This window comes from Homo sapiens, chromosome 11 (assembly GCF_000001405.40).
Source record: "Homo sapiens chromosome 11, GRCh38.p14 Primary Assembly".
NCBI lineage: Eukaryota > Metazoa > Chordata > Mammalia > Primates > Hominidae > Homo > Homo sapiens.
In genome coordinates this window covers 68,744,378-68,761,452 of record NC_000011.10, presented here as the reverse complement: position 1 = coordinate 68,761,452, position 17,075 = coordinate 68,744,378, and the positions used below count along the sequence as shown (strand labels likewise).

At 48.5% G+C, this 17,075-nt stretch overlaps 2 protein-coding genes across 19 annotated transcripts in view, besides 3 other annotated features; both read left to right on the top strand.

The window, feature by feature from the left end:
• The window catches only part of CPT1A (carnitine palmitoyltransferase 1A), an 89,658-nt gene extending 82,825 nt beyond the window's left edge, over positions 1–6,833 (top strand). For 6 of the 9 annotated variants that reach the window (NM_001440363.1, NM_001440358.1, NM_001440365.1 and 3 more), the window contains 3 exons: positions 1,115–1,228; positions 1,792–1,884; positions 3,723–6,570. In NM_001440363.1, coding sequence (NP_001427292.1) covers positions 1,115–1,228; positions 1,792–1,884; positions 3,723–3,809 — 294 coding nt within the window. In that variant the 3' untranslated portion in view covers positions 3,810–6,570. Of the gene's footprint in view, positions 1–1,114; positions 1,229–1,791; positions 1,885–3,722; positions 6,571–6,601 lie in introns of those variants that run through there. The other 3 variants (NM_001031847.3, NM_001440360.1, NM_001440362.1) reach the window with 2 other exon arrangements.
• Positions 9,701–9,820: a silencer, noted in NCBI's record as "silent region_3678". NCBI's record gives its function as "represses an Ori minimal core promoter by ATAC-STARR-seq in GM12878 lymphoblastoid cells {active_cell/tissue: GM12878}" and the evidence as "EXISTENCE:reporter gene assay evidence [ECO:0000049][PMID:35858748]".
• Positions 9,821–10,806: an enhancer, noted in NCBI's record as "H3K27ac-H3K4me1 hESC enhancer chr11:68518115-68519100 (GRCh37/hg19 assembly coordinates)". NCBI's record gives its function as "activates a minimal SCP1, AML or CMV promoter by ChIP-STARR-seq in primed H9 embryonic stem cells {active_cell/tissue: H9 hESC(primed)}" and the evidence as "EXISTENCE:reporter gene assay evidence [ECO:0000049][PMID:30033119]".
• Positions 9,831–10,120: a silencer, noted in NCBI's record as "silent region_3677". NCBI's record gives its function as "represses an Ori minimal core promoter by ATAC-STARR-seq in GM12878 lymphoblastoid cells {active_cell/tissue: GM12878}" and the evidence as "EXISTENCE:reporter gene assay evidence [ECO:0000049][PMID:35858748]".
• TESMIN (testis expressed metallothionein like protein) overlaps positions 9,933–17,075 on the top strand; it is a 46,725-nt gene continuing 39,582 nt past the window's right edge. For 5 of the 10 annotated variants that reach the window (XR_007062529.1, XM_011545402.2, NM_004923.3 and 2 more), the window contains exons 1-4: positions 9,933–10,033; positions 10,754–11,263; positions 14,087–14,245; positions 16,342–16,462. Coding sequence is in view for 8 of the 10 variants with exons in the window: in XM_011545402.2 (XP_011543704.1) it covers positions 10,793–11,263; positions 14,087–14,245; positions 16,342–16,462 (751 nt within the window). In the remaining 2 variants the exon portion in view is untranslated. The remainder of the gene's footprint in view (positions 10,034–10,753; positions 11,264–14,086; positions 14,246–16,341; positions 16,463–17,075) is intronic. The other 5 variants (XR_007062530.1, XM_017018588.2, XM_047427921.1 and 2 more) reach the window with 1 other exon arrangement.

Sequence of the window (17,075 nt, the reverse complement as noted above, 5' to 3'; positions counted from 1 at the left end):
TTAATGTCAGAATGGGCATTTGAAAAAAACGGGTCTGTGGGTGTAGCTGTCATAAAATGGAAAATGTGAGCAGCGCGTTTAGTACTGCATTTCTTCAAAAACTTCGCTGTCACATGTAGCCCCTGACTTAATAGACCCGAAGACCTCGAGAGCTTACGTCACAGTAAGACGCACGGAAGTAACTAGGGAGTGATGAGCTGTGAGCGCGTACCACCTTTGTTTTAAAAATCCTTTATTTTATTGTAAGTTTATGAAATATATTATTATTGTTTTTTGAGACAGGGTCTTACAGTGTTGCCCAGGCTGGGCTCAAACTCCTAGACACAAGCAATTCTTCGTCCTTAGCCTGCTGAGTAGCTGATGTGCACCACTGTGCCCAGCTCAAATTTAATTTAAGTTTTATTTATTTATTTATTTATTTTTTATTTTTTGGAGATGGAGTCTCGCTCTGTCACCCAGGCTGGAGTGCAGTGGCGCCATCTTGGCTCACTGAAACCTCCGCCTCCCGGGTTCAAGCTATTCTCCTGCCTCAGCCTCCCAAGTAGCTGGGATTACAGGCACACGCTGCCATGCCTGGCTAATTTTTTTTGTTGTTGTATTTTAGTAGAGACGGGGTTTCACCGTGTTGCCCAGGCTGGTCTCGAACTCCTGAGCTCAGGCAATCCACCCGCGTCGGGTTCCCAAAGTGCTGAGATTACAGACATGAACCATTGCGCCTGGCAAATTTAATTTTTAATAGTGGCTGTATTTAATAGCCAGCTTGAAAATTCTCTGAAAATATGGCAGCTGGCTCGTGGGAGTTGGTACAAGTCTGACACCTCTGTCCCCGTTCCGAATCTTACTCCATATATCTGTTACCTTCACTGTCTGAGATGCTATTTGCTGGTATGCCCCCACCCCCACCCTGCACTCCCTGCCCCAGTCTGGGGGCCCCACCCACCCCGCATGCTCTCTGCAGATACGCTGCCCAAGCCAGTGAGGCCTTTGGAGACATAGACTTGTGGTGTGTGGAACAATCAAAAGACCAAGCCAGGCTTTTCTCGTCTTCCCAAAGCGACTCCTGAGGGACGGTAGAGGAGGGGATTAGGAAACATTTCCCTGTTTCACTCAATAGGTTTTATCTGAGCCTTGGAGATTATCAACAAGCCAGACCCCTCAGCAGCAAGTGGAGCTGTTTGACTTGGAGAATAACCCAGAGTACGTGTCCAGCGGAGGGGGCTTTGGACCGGTGAGTGCGGCGGGGCTGGGCGAGGCGCAGTGGGGCGTGGTGATGGGATGGGTAATGGGGTGTGATGGGCCCATCTCCGTGCTGGGTGCCCCCGTTACCTTGCGGTTCTACCGCCGTAAAGGAATTACTGCTGATCATTGCTATGGATGTCCTTGGCAGTCTTGCACTTATTTTTTATTTTTTTGAGACAAGGTCTCGCTCTGTCACCCAGGCTGGAGTGCAGTAAGCATGATCATGGCTCATGGCAGCCTGAATCTCCCCCATCTCAGGTGATCCTCCCACCTCCACCTCCTGAGTAGCTGGGACTACAGATGCATGCCACCATGCCCAGCTAATTTGTGTGTGTGTGTGTATTTTTTTGTAGAGACAGGGTTTCACCATGTTGTCCGGGCTGGTCTCGAACCCCTGGGCTCAAGTGACCCGCCTGCCTCAGCCTCCCAAAATGCTGGGATTACAAGGAGAAGCCACCGAGCCCCGCCAGTGTTGCATTTAGAACATTAGAAAGTCCCTTTTTCACGTTGTCTCATTTCCCAGCAACAAATTCAAATTCCCTTGTCCTCCAGGTTGCTGATGACGGCTATGGTGTGTCGTACATCCTTGTGGGAGAGAACCTCATCAATTTCCACATTTCTTCCAAGTTCTCTTGCCCTGAGACGGTATGTATGAAAAGAAGTTCCTTTTTCTGAAGATGGGGTATTTTTGCTTTATTCTTTTTAAGGAAACACATCTTTAATTTGACAGAAAAAGTCAATTCAACTGCCTGCTTTTACTTGATTTCGGGAATTTTCACATAAATGGACTGCTTTTAAAAAAAAATTTTTTTTTTTTTGGAGACACAGTCTCACTCTGTCGCCCAGGCTGGAGTGCAGGGGCGAGATCTTGGCTCACTGTAACCTCTGCCTCCCGGGCTCAAGTGATTCTCCTGCCTCAGCCTCCCAAGTAGCTGGGACTACAGGCACCCGCCACTACCCCGGCTAATTTTTTTGTATTTTTAGTAGAGACAGGGTTTCACCATGTTGGGCAGGCTGGTCTCAAACTCCTGACCTCAGATGATCCACCTGCCTCGACCTCCCAAAGTGCTGAGATTACAGGCATGAGCCACCGCGCCTGGCCTAAATTTTTTTAATTAAAAAATTGTTTGTACAGACAGGGTCTCCCCACATTTCCCAGGCAAGTCTTGAACTCCTGGGCTCACGCGATCCTCTTACCTCAGCCTCCCAGTGTTGGGATTACAGGCTTCAGCCACTGTGCCCAGCCATAAGTGAATTTCAAAATTCTCTTTACCTAGTTTTAAACAAATGTATCTCAGCCAGGCACGGTGGCTCACACCTATAATCTCAGCACTTTGGGAGGCTGAGGCTGGCCAATCACTTGAGGTGAGGAGTTTGAAACCATCCTGGCCAACATGGTGAAACCCCGCCTCTACTAAAAATACAAAACTTAGCTGGTGTGGTGGCACACGCCTGTAATCCCAGCTACTCAGGAGGCTGAGGTAGGAGAATCGCTTGAACCCGGGAGGTGGAGGTTGTAGTGAGCCAGGATCATGCCACTGCACTCCAGCCTGGGTGATGGAGTGAGACTCCGTCTCAGAAAAAAAAAAAAAAAAAAGGAAATGTATCTAATTTGGTTTAACATGTTTACCTCTGTTGGCAGCAATGGTTTTGAAGCTTAACGTTGGAGTGCTGCTGTAACTTTCAGACTCTTTAGCACTTGGAAGATGAACTAAAAATAATGGGTACACACTAAGAAATCTGCATACAGAGCAGGGGACCCCCGGCTTCCTCTGTGGATGGAACAAGGGACCTCCTCCCTAGCATGGCACATTGCCCTTATTTATATTCTGCTTTCCTTGTCGTACATAGCCTGGCAACCCATGCCACTGTCGCTGTTAACAGAGGAAGTTGGGGTTTATTTGTTCACTGCGGTTTTCTTTTGTTGTTTGTTTGTTTGTTTGTTTTAGACAGGGTCTCACTCTGCCACCCAGGCTAGAGTGCAGTGGTGTGATCTCGGCTCACTGCAGCTTCAGCCTCCTGGGCTCAGGGGATCCTCCTACTTCAGCCTCCTGAGTAGCTGGGACTATAGGGGAGTGCCACCACACCTGGCTGATTTTTGTATTTTTTGTAGAAATGTGGTTTCACCATGTTTCCCAGGCTGGTCTTGAACTCCTGGGCTCAAGCGATTCCAAAGTGCTGGGATTACAGGCATGAGCCACCATGCTCAGGATGGTCATTGTGTTTTCCGTGGGATAAACGCATTGGCATTAGGGGAAGGCTTAGATCGACAACACACCCGCACAAACACATCAGCTGTCATCTCTTTACCCTCAGCATTTCTCTGGAATGTCTAAGTTAAGCTTTAAGACGTTGGTCAGATCTTAGAGAACTGGCAGAAAGGAATTTCAATGAAACATTGGGTCAGATTGCAAATGAAAAAGCTTGAAATGTGGGGATGGCCACGTTTTAATAGGTTTTTGGTTTTTGTTTTTACATGAAAGGATTCTCATCGCTTTGGAAGGCACCTGAAAGAAGCAATGACTGACATCATCACTTTGTTTGGTCTCAGTTCTAATTCCAAAAAGTAATTCCACTGGAGCTGCTGGGAAGGAAAACGAGCTCTTCTGATGCAAACCAAATGAAAAATAGGCATTAATCCTGACCTTAGCTCGGGATGAAACACTGCTCTTAAAAAAACTCAGTTTTCCTTCCAGAAAATGTGGGTGTTTTTTTTTCCTAGAACAGTATCTCTCCCCTGTGAAGCATAACCCCACTACTTCCAGACTTGCCCTCCCTTGGGGGACATCTGATAAAGTCTCCCCTGATGTCTCCGCATCGGCTTGGATTTATTAAGGGATGCAAATCTTGTTGAGTTAATGAAGGAATTAGTAGGGTTGTGGCTTCACACACAGTGGAATGGAAATGGTGTGCTTTCTCAGTGGCAACCGAAGGCCTAGTGCTTAAGGGCATTTAGCATCATCCAAGCAGGGTAAACTTTTGTTTTGTTAAAAGAAAAATGTGTTATTCAAGTTGGTGTCCCCAGTTGTAGCTAACACATCTGGAATGCACTAACCAAAATGCTGTGCTTTGGAGACCTGCTTTTGTCACCGTGGGTAACCGTTCCCGTCTGGTCCAGTAGCCTGTGTTTGCCTCTCCACATTTGAAGCAAGCAGGATGCAAGGTCTTCAGTTTTACTGACCTTGTATGTCTTCAAGTCTTCACAACCCAGTGCCTTAAAAATGAAAGGCCCTAAATGTAAGGGAGATGGAGAGAAAGATTTATTTTGTAGAGTCTTTGGGTGGAATTGTGGGTATACTGTTCCCTTCACAATTGACTGAGTATGGATAACCGTACATAAGCATTTGCTACACCCCACCAGCCCCCTCCCCCTCAGAAACACCAGTTCCTTCCCAAGGGCAGCTGTGCCAGACTCCCCTCCCGGGACTGCCTTCTTGTCATCATAAGCAACAAAAGAAATAACAGGCACATGTCATAAAAGGGGAGCAAGGGCCGTGATGGTCAGATAATTCACTCAAGAATAAAACATGACACGTGCCTCAGGAGGATCTCTTTCCCAAAGTGACAGCAAGGAGGGCAGGGCATCGGCCACCAAGCGGGGACTAGCAAGTGAGGAAGGGGAGGGCAGCCCACCGTGGTGAGGAGAGAGTGGCTCCACGACCCCAAGGGATGGCCTTCTCCTCCCACCCGGTGAGGGGAAAGACTCACCAGAGGGTGATGGAGACAGTATGCCGGCTCACCTTGGTGACCAGCCAAGATGTCTCAAGTGACAGTGCTAGGTGTTCACCCAGCCTGTCCTTCAGATAGGAGTGCCTTCACGAAAGCGTCTCATGGACCACAAAGCAATTATGCACTGAGTCATCTTCAGTATTTAATGCAAAAATGAAGCATCATGGAATGAAATTCCCACTGTCTGTCATGACAAGCTTAGCTGTCCATTGTTTTAAATTGTGTATTTATTTTTTTGACCACTTGGTTCTAGTTGGGCCTGACTCCTTCAGAGTGCTGCACCCCGATAGTACAACAGCGATGGCTGAACTGTTGGAGTCGATGGAAGGTGCTTGCCGGAGAACACGTGCCTTTTTTTTTTTTTTTTTTTTTGAGATGGAGTTTCACTCTTGTTGCCCAGGCTGGAGTGCAGTGGTGCAATCTCGGCTCACTGCAGCATCTGCCTTGCAGGTTCAAGCGATTCTCCTGTCTCAGCCTCCCAAGTAGCTGGGATTACACGCCCAACACCATGCCCTGCTAATTTTTGTATTTTTAGTAGAGACGGGGTTTCATCATATTGGTCAGGCTGGTCTCGAACTCCTGACCTCAGGTGATCCACCTGCCTCAGCCTCCCAAAGTGCTGGGATTACAGGCATGAGCCACCATGCGCGGCCCACATGCATGTTTTATGTATGTATACTTCATGATGTAAAAATCCCACCTTTATGGGCCAAAGATTTTTTTTCTCCTGAAAGCAAGAAAAAATGAAAACAAAAGACAAAAAAAAAAAAAAAAGCGTCCAGGCGCGGTGGCTCATGCGTGTAATCCCAGCACTTTGGGAGGCCAAGGCGGGCGGATCACGAGGTCAGGAGATGGAGACCATCCTGGCTAACACGGTGAAACCCCGTCTCTACTAAAAATTCAAAAAATGAGCCGGGCGTGGTGGCGGGCGCCTGTAGTCCCAGCTACTCAGGAGGCTGAGGCAGGAGAATGGCGTGAACCCGGGAGGCGGAGCTTGCAGTGAGCCGAGATCGCTCCACTGCACTCCAGCCTGGGCGACAGAGCGAGACTCCGTCTAAAAAAAAAAGCAAAAACAAACCAACAACAAAAGCCCCTGACTGTCCGTCAAGCAGGCAGCGGGGATGTAGCTCTCTCTGCCCTGGGCAAGAATAGCACTTCCCGTTAAAAGCCAGCAGCCGGCGTCAGTCCCTATCAGAGCCAGCTAGATCATGCACTGTTGACCACTGAGCAATCTGTGTTACACTAGAGTTCACAGGGCATTTTGAGTGTAGACGTGAGTGCTTAAACATATTTGGGTTTCTCTCTCAGGTTTTAAATGTTTCAAATGTAATTGTTGCTCATCAGTGCAGTTATCAATGCAATTTTATATTCCTTGAGGGGAGAAAGAGGGGTCTTATTGTACATGTCCAAGGGGGGTGATAAGAGTATTATCTGTTTAATTTAATTGGAACAAACCATTGTCTTAACGCAGCCATGGTTTGAATTTGTTATCTTGGGCTGACCGGTGCATGTAAATACAGTATGCTCTTTGGATGTAAATCTTAGAAATGCAGTGTGAATGTAGGTTATCATTAATAAAACATTAACCCCAGTCTACTACAAGATTTGTTTCTGTCTCTTTTGTTATATTAAGGGGATTATAAGTCAAGGACCAAGTTCAGATACTTGAGACAAAGTGGAAAGTCTCAGCATATGGAAACAAGGCCTTGGAGGAGACCATGGACATCACCAAGTTCATGTGCTGGGCTGGAAAGAAAAGCCTGTTGATTTTCACTTGCTGTGCATTTATTCATCCATTCCATTGCCTCAATGCTGAGAACAGTGCCTGACACATAAAAGATGCTCAATAAATATGTTAAAAGTAATGCATGAATTCCATTTTTCTGTTTTTCTTGAGCACCTGTATTAGGCCATTCTCACATTGCTGTAAAGAAATAGCTGAGACTGGGTAATTTATAAGAGGTTTAATTGGCTCTCAGTTCTGCAGGCTATACAGGAAGCATGGAGGCATCTGCTTCTGGGGAGGCCTCAAACAGCTTTTTACTCATGGTGGAAGGCAAAGGGGGAGCAGGCATTCTACATGGTGAAAGGAGACAGAGAGAGAAAGAGAGGAGGTGCTCTCTTACACATTTGCAAACAACCAGATCTGAGAGAGAGAGAGGAGGTGCTCTCTTACACACTTGCGAACAACCAGATCTCACAGGAACTCACGCACTCTATGGTGAGGACAGTAGCAAGAGGGATGGTGCTGTTCATGAGAAATGCACGCCCATGATCCAGTCACTTCCCATCAGGCCCCACCTCCAACATTAGGGATTACCACTGAACCTGAGATTTGGGTGGGGACACACATCCAAACCATATCAGCGCCTGTTCTAGGCACTGGGGAGACAGCAGTGACCCCACCAGGTTCTGGCTGTCTCATTAGTCCATTTTTACATTGCTGTAAAGAACTTCTTGAGACTGGGTAAGTATAAAGGAAAGACAGTCAATTGACTCACAGTTCAGCATGGCTGGGGAGGCCTCAGGAAACTTATAATCATGGCAGAAGGTGAAGGGGAAGCAAGAAACCTGTTACATGGCAGCAGAGGAGAGAGAGTGAGGGGGAATTGCCGAACACTTTTAAGCCATCAGATCTTGTGAGAACTCACTTCTTATTGCAAGAACAGCGTAGGGGAACCGCCTCCTTGATCCAATCACCTCCCACCAGGCCCCTCCCTTGACACAGAGGGATTACAATTCAAGATGAGATTTGGGTGGGGACACAGAGCCAAACCATATCACAGAGGAAAAAGAGAACAAGCCAACCAGTTGAAGGATTTTAAGTGTTCTGAGGCAACTAAGAGGATCATTGGGAGGGGGTGGTAGCTGGCAGGGAGGTTGACCCACTTAGAGTGGGTTGAGCTGAGACCTGAGAGACTCGACGGAGCCAGCCCGGCCAGTGCAGCAGGGCAGCAAGCATCTAGGAGCAGCAGGTGCAGAGCCTCCAGGCTTGATTGCAACCCGTGGGTGACCCCCACAGGTGGCTGTGTATGCCTGGCATGATGCTACTCAGTAGACGTCTGATTCTGATTAGTAAACGAATGAACGGTGCAACCTTGTGGGTTACTCTCTCGCTTGGGCCACTCAAGCTATGCATAATTCTTGGGCTCTTCGATTTATTATTTTTATTATTTTTTCTGCTTCTGTGAGTGTTTTTTGTTGTTGTTGTTTTTGTTTGTTTGATTTTTGAGATGGAGTTTCAATCTTTTTGCCCAGGCTAAAGTACAATGGTGCAATCTCAGCTCACTGCAACCTCCGCCTCCCAGGTTCAAGCAATTCTCCTGCCTCAGCCTCACAAATAGCTGGGATTGCAGGTGTGCACCACCATGCCTAGCTAATTTTGTATTTTTAGTAGAGACAGGGTTTCACCATGTTAGTCAGGCTGGTCTTGAACTCCTGACTTTAAGTGATCTGACCACCTTGGCCTCCCAGAGTGCTGGGATTACAGGCATGAGCCACCACGCCCAGCCCCAGGCAAAATTTTCTTGATTTTTGAATGTTAAATGTACAACTAAATAGTACACGGTGTTGCTGTGCCTTGGGTACTACCCTTTAAAAATTTAGAAAAGTATTTAATTTTTAAAAGTGAGATTAGAAAGCTGATGTTTTACATTCTTTATTTTTACCAAAACAGTACCTGAGTAGACAGTACCTGAGGCTGTCTCCCCAGCACCCACTCCCACCAGTCCCTCTACACCCTTTGCAGTTTTCGCCATCACTTGAATTAAACTTTCACCTCCTCTTGATTAAACAGTGATATCTATTGACTCCTTAAAGATGAAATAGCTCATTCCCCACCCAAAATTTGAGACTTTCATTGTATTTGTGAGTTTTTTTTTTTTTTTCTGAGAGGGAGCCTTTCTCTGTTGGTCAGGCTGGAGTACAGTGACACAATCTCAGCTCACTGCAACCCCCATCTCCCAGGTTCAAGCCTCAGCCTTCTATGTAGCTGGGACTACAGGCGTGCGCCACTACGCCCAGCTAGTTTTTGTATTTTTTAGTAGAGACGGAGTTTCACTATATGTTGGCCAGGCTGGTCTCGAACTCCTGACCTCAGGTGATCCACCCGCCTCGGCCTCCCAAAGTGCTGGGATTACAGACGTGAGCCACCACGCCCAGCCGTATTTGTTACTTCTATTTCGGGACCAACTCCATCAGTTGCACCTGTAAGCTGCGTCACCAAGGACCGGGAGTGGGTGCAAGGCTGGGAACGTGCGGTGCAAGCCCCTGCCCTCTGTCCACCCGCAGCGTCCCAGGCCGGGATCTGTCTTGAGAGCTCGAGTGTAGAAAAATGTTTTATTTTATTTTATTTATTTTTTTGAGACGGAGTCTAGCTCTGTGGCACAGGCTGGAGTGCAGTGGCGGGATCTCGGCTCACTGCAACCTCCACCTCCCGGGCTCAAGCGATTCTCCTGCCTCAGCCTTCCAAGTAGCTGGGATTACAGGCGCGTGCCACCACGGCCAGCTAATTTTTGTATTTTTAGTAGAGACGGGGTTTCACCATGTTGCCCAGGCTGGTTTTGAACTCCTGACCTCAAGTAATCCGCCTGCCTCGGCCTCCCAAAGTGCTGGGACTACAGGCGTGAGCAACCACGCCTGGCCAGAAAAATATAACTGAAGCCCAAGGTCAGAAGCCAAGCTAGGCAGTCCCACTTAGCGCTGCCCGAGTTGATGGGGACCTCAGTTTCCCCACCTGAGCCTGGATCGGCTGAACCTGGGAGTGCCTCCCCTGACCCGCTCTGGCAACAGCGGCAGTCCAGGCCCCGCCCCTCGCGACTCTGTCTCCTCCCGCCCCAGACCACGCCCACCACACCTCCCTGGCCCCGCCTTTACCTCCCCGCCCCGACCTCGACTCCGCCCCACGCCCAGGCCCCGCCCACTGCCCGGGCGCCTCTTCCCCTCCCCCCAGGTTCCTGTCCCTCACCCTTCCCCCTTCTCCAACCGCCAACGGCCGCCTGCGCCTGAGGCCCGGCCCACGCCCCATCCCGCTCGCTCCACGCTGCGGCAGCCCCGGCGGCCCCAGGTGCGTCCCTCCGAGGAGGAATGACGGGGCGGTCCCCGGGCTGGGCCTCGGCTCTGCAGGCGGGGATGGGGGCTGCCGGGCCGGGTCGGGCCCCTGCGGGTGGGCGGAGGGCGGCGGGCCGTGGGCGAGGCCGCCCCTCACCTGGTCGCACCTCACCTGGCCCCCCCTCCCCTGGCTGCTCCTCACCTGACCCCCTCCTCGGCCGCCCCTCACCTGGCCCCCTCCCCTGGGCGCCCCTCACCTGACCCCCACCCCGGCCGGCCCCTCTCCTGGCCGCCCCTTACCTGGTCGCCCCTCCCCTGACTCCCTCCCCTGGTCGCTCCTCACCTGGCCGCCCCTCACCTGGCCCCCTCCCCTGGCCGCCCCTCCCCTGGTCGCCCCTCCCGTGACCCCCTCCCCGGCCGCCCCTCCCCTGGTCGCCGCTCACCTGACCGCCTCCCCTGGTCGCTCCTCACCTGGCCGCCCCTCACCTGGCCGCCCCTCACCTAATCGCCCCTCATCTGGTCGCCCCTCCCCTGACCCCCTCACCTGGTCGCCCTTCCCCGGGCCCCTCACCTGGCCCTCCCTCACCAGGCCGCCCCCTCCCCTAGCCGCCCCTCACCTGGTCCCCTCCCCTGGCCGCCCCTCCCTTGGCTGCCCCTCCCTTGGCTGTCCCCTTTCCTGGCCGCCCCTCCCCTCGTCCTCTCCTCTGGCTGCCTCTCACCTGGCCGCGTGTTGCAGGTGCGCGGCCCCCGCCATCCCGCCCCGCCGCCCTGCGCCATGGAGGAGGGCCCTCTGCCGGGCGGGCTGCCCAGCCCCGAGGATGCGATGGTGACGGAGCTCTTAAGCCCCGAGGGTCCGTTCGCTTCGGAGAACATCGGCCTGAAGGCCCCCGTGAAGTACGAGGAGGACGAGTTCCACGTCTTCAAAGAAGCGTACCTGGGCCCGGCGGACCCCAAGGAACCCGTCCTGCACGCGTTCAACCCCGCGCTGGGCGCCGACTGCAAGGGCCAGGTCAAGGCGAAGCTCGCGGGGGGCGACAGCGACGGCGGGGAGCTCCTCGGGGAGTACCCCGGGATCCCAGAGCTCAGCGCGCTGGAGGACGTCGCGCTCCTGCAGGCCCCGCAGCCGCCCGCCTGCAACGTGCACTTCCTGTCCTCGCTGCTACCCGCGCACCGCAGCCCGGCGGTGTTGCCCCTGGGCGCCTGGGTCCTGGAAGGAGCCTCCCACCCGGGCGTCCGCATGATCCCAGTAAGAACCGCCTGGGGAATGGGCACAGCTCCCCCTCCATCCCTTCCCCAACCCATCTGAGGCTGCTAGTGTACCCCAGGATTTCCCTCTACAAGCATTTTCCCTGGTGACACCACACACAGCCCACCGGAGTCACTGATTCTCGGTAGAGCGTATACTCTTTGTCGTCTTCCTAATCCAACATGCATCGGCCCAGCCAAGCCCTTTCCCCTGGAGGGAATTCTGCCCTGCACCAGTCGTCCAAAGCTGACCTAACCATGCAGACGGCGGACAACAAAAAAAGGGGGAAAGCTAGGACGTAGGTTCCCTTGGGCCCTGTTGCTATCCTTGGCTTAAGGAGAGAGGCCCGCTGTCTGCTGGTAACTATTGTCTGTGAAAACAAACGCAATGTGGTGGAGGGTTGGCGTGTTTGCATCTTGCATTTTTTTTTTCCTTTAACTTTACCAGGCTTGGAATCCACAGCAAGGACTCAGAGTTAATACTTGGATTTTCCGGGCCTTGAAGTCAAGATGTGAGATCTTCCCTTTGCTAATGAGTAATAGCTCTTCAAGCATATGCAATGTAAATCAGAGCCTAAAGAAATGCTTGCCAGCTCTCAGCCGACTGCCCTCTCTAGCTGTAGATGACCGCTGATAATTTTCCGCTTTGTTCTTGCCAAAACTAATGAGTTTTCAAAGGAAACAAAGGGTCCCAGGAAAATGTGTTCTCGACCCCTCAAAAAGGACCCAGCTCAGAAAACGAGACCACTCATCCATGAGGTCATTTTAGTAAGTTGTAGATGAAGCGTTTGTGGGACACAATGCTTGAGTCAGTATTGAGATGGCTGGAGCCTGACCCTGTATCATAAGCCAGAGCAGCAGGAGCTTGGATTTCTGCTCTTCCGGTTTTCTGTTATGGTAATTGCCAGTCCTTAGTGTACAGGAAAAGGATGGGCAGAGGCTGGGGCCTCCACTGACCTCTGTTTGTCCTCAGAGGAGCCATAGAGCTCACCAGTTCCCCCAGCCGTTTCCCAGGACAGAGGTCTTTCTCACAGCCTTTCTCAGAGGGCTTGAAATGTTAAGAACTGCATTTTGCTGCCCAGCCGGATTGGTGTCCAGCGCCTCCTGCCCGTAGGTCCTAGCTCGGCTCATTTCCTCACAGAGTGGAGTCAGAAAGCATTAATCAGAACAGGGAAGATAATACAAAAATTAACCGGGTGTGGTGGCGCACACCTGTAATCCCAGCTACTCGGGAGGCTGAGGCAGGAGAATTGCTTGAACCTGGGAGGCGAAGGCTGCAGTGAGCCGAGATTGCACCACTGCACTCCAGCCTGAGCGACAGAGTGAGACCCTGTCTTAAAAAACAAACAAAACACACACAAGAGAATTCTCTGATGTTAAAGATAGTAAAATTCTCTTTAATCCAATTTTAAGAGATTGCTGGTCTGACAAACTAAAGGAGAGACTTTGCTTTTTAAATTTTTATTGACTGCTTTCTGATTCATTAATAAAATGGACCAGATACAGCACAGACATGTTTATCGTTTAAACAGAATGGAATTATTTTCAGTAAATATTCAGGATCAGTTGCTAATTTCCTTCTTCTAGAAATTCATTCCCACATGTTGACCTTTGTTTTGAAAGGTCAGAAATGGAATTTTAGTATAAGTAGTTCAGATATTAGTTGCATAGGTCTGAGGAAATGATATATTTATTATAGTAGTATTTGTTGATTACAGGGAGATAAGTTAAATCTAAACTGGGATGACGTGCATAGCACATCCCCCAAAGCAGCAAGTAGAAGAAAATTTTATGTGTATTTATATGAAATTTAAAATTTCTAAATAAAGCTACTTAAAATATAGCTAAACTTTATCTCTTTTAAGATTTATACCTAGATGCTAGTCTGCTGTGCTGAGTGATTTGCCCATACATGGGAAATATGATTTGTTTGGGCCTCTGATTTTATTGGGCTGGACAAGCTCCAATTTGAGTCACTATCTGCATTTTGAAAGATACCTGCTCTGTGATTTTTATTTGAGGTCTTCAGTATGTTACCTTAGAGCCACCATCTTTTTGGAAGGGCTCTGTGGCCTGCCTCCTGGCCTTTGGGGAGCCCCACTGTCCTCTGGTCCAGGCAGCTCGGGCAAGTGTAGGTGGAGGAGGAGGGGAGGGGAGGATGCAAAGCGTGGGTTTCCCAGTCCTCCTCACATTCCTACAGATTGTAAAAAGCAGCATCCCAATGTTGAAACAATCCTGATTGTAATTTTTTTTTAACCACGAGGATTCTTACTTTTAAAAATTCTATTGATTTTCAGTATTATCCCTGTATTTCTCCATATCTTTGGTAATTTTGTCATCGGGTTGACAGTTGTTACAGAAGACAGCTTGAACACAAAGCTGGCAGCCACTCCCTACTCTCCACCATTTCATGTTTGTTGTCCTACTATTAAGGCAGGAAAGGGCTACTACCTAATTACAAATCTTCCTATAAACACATCATAAATAATATTAAAACGTTACCAAGGATTTGGGGCTTTTTGAGGAAAAAACAATTGACTAGAACATCTAATTCAAACTACTGAGCATGCTGGAAGAATGTGTGATGGGGCTGGGCTGGAATGCAATGGCACTGTCTCAGCTCACAGCAACCTCCGCCTCCCAGGTTCAAGCAGTTCTCCTGCCTCAACCTCTCCGGTAGCTGGGAGTGTGCCACCATGCCTAGTAGAGACAGGGTTTCACCATAACTTCTACTTATCACTGAGATTTCAATTTTCTAAATTATGCAACTGCAAGAGCCAGTGTCCACCATGTGTTCTCTAAAATAATTATTGCTTTTTTCTAGGTTGAAATCAAGGAAGCAGGTGGTACTACTACAAGTAATAATCCGGAAGAAGCAACTTTGCAGAATCTTCTTGCTCAGGAATCCTGTTGCAAGTTCCCATCGTCCCAGGAACTAGAGGATGCCTCCTGCTGTTCTCTTAAGAAAGATTCCAACCCAATGGTAATTATGCTAAAGAAGATGTGTAGGACTAACATTATACTAAATGCTGGACCCCATCATTACTAAGTCGACTGATCATTTCACTCGTTTTTCATTTCACGTATGTATTGTATCAGGATTTTTGGTTGTCTCATTAGCAAAACAGGGACATGAGCCTTTCACATCTCACCTCTAAGATTCTCATTTCTACTCCATCTTAGCAAATTGAACAAAGATGAGGACATTGCTGTATTCATTAAGGAGAGCAAGCACAAATCACATCAGTTAGTGCAGTGCTGGGGTCAGGGACTGCAGCTGAGCCTCATGGTTTGGCATATTGGTGTGGGGCACGGTCCTGTGGCTTCAGGGCAGAGCCTGCTTCCTTCGTGTCCCAATCTCTCATGATAACAGGTAACGCTTGTATAGGGTACGTAATCAGTCACAGCTGTGGTTTATGTCATATTTTTGCACCTTTATTTAATCCTCCTAACAACTCTGTAGGATAGGCATTCTTTTTATCCCCACTTTATGGGTAAGAAACAGAGATGTTACATCATCTACATTGGTCTTCATAATTAAGTGGTGCATCTGGGACTCCAGATCTCACGTGGCAAGGACTAGGAATGGGGAGAGTGTCGCCCACAGCATTCCCTTAGCAAAGCACCCAGAGTCCAAGAACCGATCATTGCCTTTCCCCCAGCAATTCTTTATTCCTAGAAATGAGGCCCTTGCTGTAAGGCATAGACGTTAACAAGCAAATACTTGAAAATGAGCCTGTCATGAGTTTGGTTTAGCTGTGGTGTACACTAACATTAGCCTCTCCATCGGTGGTTCTATTTGGGGCTGTGGGTTCTGATAGCAGTTTTTCTAGGACCCTAAAAGCAGGTCAGCAGGATGAGAACTCTCCGACTCCCCAAGACTGCAGAGTGATGTTAGCACATTTCCCCAGAGGGCAGAGCCAAGGCTCCCATGTGGATAGGGCCCAGGAGTGTGCAGTAGAGGCAGGTCTGCAGAGTTCACTCTGAGCCTTTCCTGTGTGTGTGTGTGTGTGTGTGTGTAGCTATAACTTTATCCTCCAAATACAAATACAACTCCAATTGAACATGAATGCTGGCCTCTCATCAGATGTCAGGATGATGTGGAATATTGATCCAATGACCATAGTAGGTCCAATGTGTATTACTTTGATAACATTGGTCCTTTATGGTTCTTTGGGTTCTCTTATCTAGATTATAAGCAACTTAAGTGTATAAAGCACAGCTGCTCTGTGTAGTTGTGGTTCTGCCAGCAGAATTGGAAGCTGTGTCCAGGCAGAAGCCACAGCATCTCTCGCCTTTCTATCCCCACATGCCACAGCCTGAAGCAGGGCTGGGCACACAGTTCCCTCAGTGCTTTTGCTTGACTGATGGGATGGACTGGCAGACCCACCCGGCTTGCGACCATTTATTTATGGTCAGTATCCAAGGGGGGTCTGACAGTGCTGCTCAGGCCCAAGCAGATCAGTGTGGCTTCTTAGAACTTTATAGTTCTTGGACTAACCTTTCTAAGCTGTACTTGTAGGAAATAAAATAGATGTGTTTTTAAAACCCCATGTGTTAAATAATGACATGTGTGTGGCAGGAAAGGACAGTTGGAGTAAAATTAGAGAGGATTTTAAGTGCGTGCCCAGGGACTCAGGGACATGCCGCCAGGGCCTCAGTGCCCACTGGGGCTGAATGGGCTGGGGCTTAGCGGAGCAGCACCCTCTTCTGCTCATGTCAATGGTGGAGTGAGGACAGGACAAAGGAAGCTCTGGGGCATGGCTACCTGATCCCCAACTAAATCAGACACCTGTGGAGAAAGCCAGGCACAGGAACTTTTTTCTGTTCACACACTGGACGCATCTCAGGAAACATTTCTGGGTTTTTCTTTTTTTTTTTTTTTTTTTTGCCCTTTGGTGTCTCCAAAGAGCATGTTAGTGTAGAGTAAGAAATCGAAAACAGATCTATAGTTTTCTATCTTCCATTAAAATGTAACTTCTGGATTAAAGCTATTTTCTCAGATTTAAGTTTATTTAGGTTCATTATTACTGGAATTATGTTTCAAAAATGAAACCTGATTGTTCTTTTTCATTTTAGGTGATATGCCAATTGAAAGGGGGCACACAAATGCTATGTATAGACAATTCTAGAACAAGAGAACTAAAAGCACTCCATTTGGTTCCTCAGTATCAAGATCAAAATAATTATCTACAGTCAGGTACAAAGTTAATTAATAAAAAAAACTATGTCATATATGTAAGTTGGTAAATGAATATGTTTGGCTTTGTATATAAAGTGAAATGGCAACCAGGATATTAAATAGGAAATTTGGCAAACCTCGTAGTCCATATTAGTAAGCTAAGAATATAAAAATGTATATCTATAGACTAATTTTTGTACCCTGTACTGACTGTCTCAAATTCTTGGATAGCTGTCCCTCATGTCACCTAGCTGCTGAGAGCTTTGTGATCCTAACAGGTGATGACTCAGACCGACACTGCATTGGTAGGAATTCCACAAATAGGTGCCTCGATGTGCCTAGATTGAAATATCAGCCTTTCCCAGACTGACCTGATGGGTTGACTTCAGGTGTGGTGTAAACACCTACATTTTAATGTAAACATTTCAGTGTAATCAATGAGAACTATCATTCTGCTTTAATCACCATGAGTTCTGAAATAACAAAGGATTTGTCTGACATTCATTCTAAGAAATTCATTCTTACCTGACTAAGAAACTTTTTTAACCTGGCACAATAATAAGAAATGACCTGTAAGTACTTGATTGTTCTGAAATTCCTTATGCATGATTAGAGAAAGAGTAAATGACGT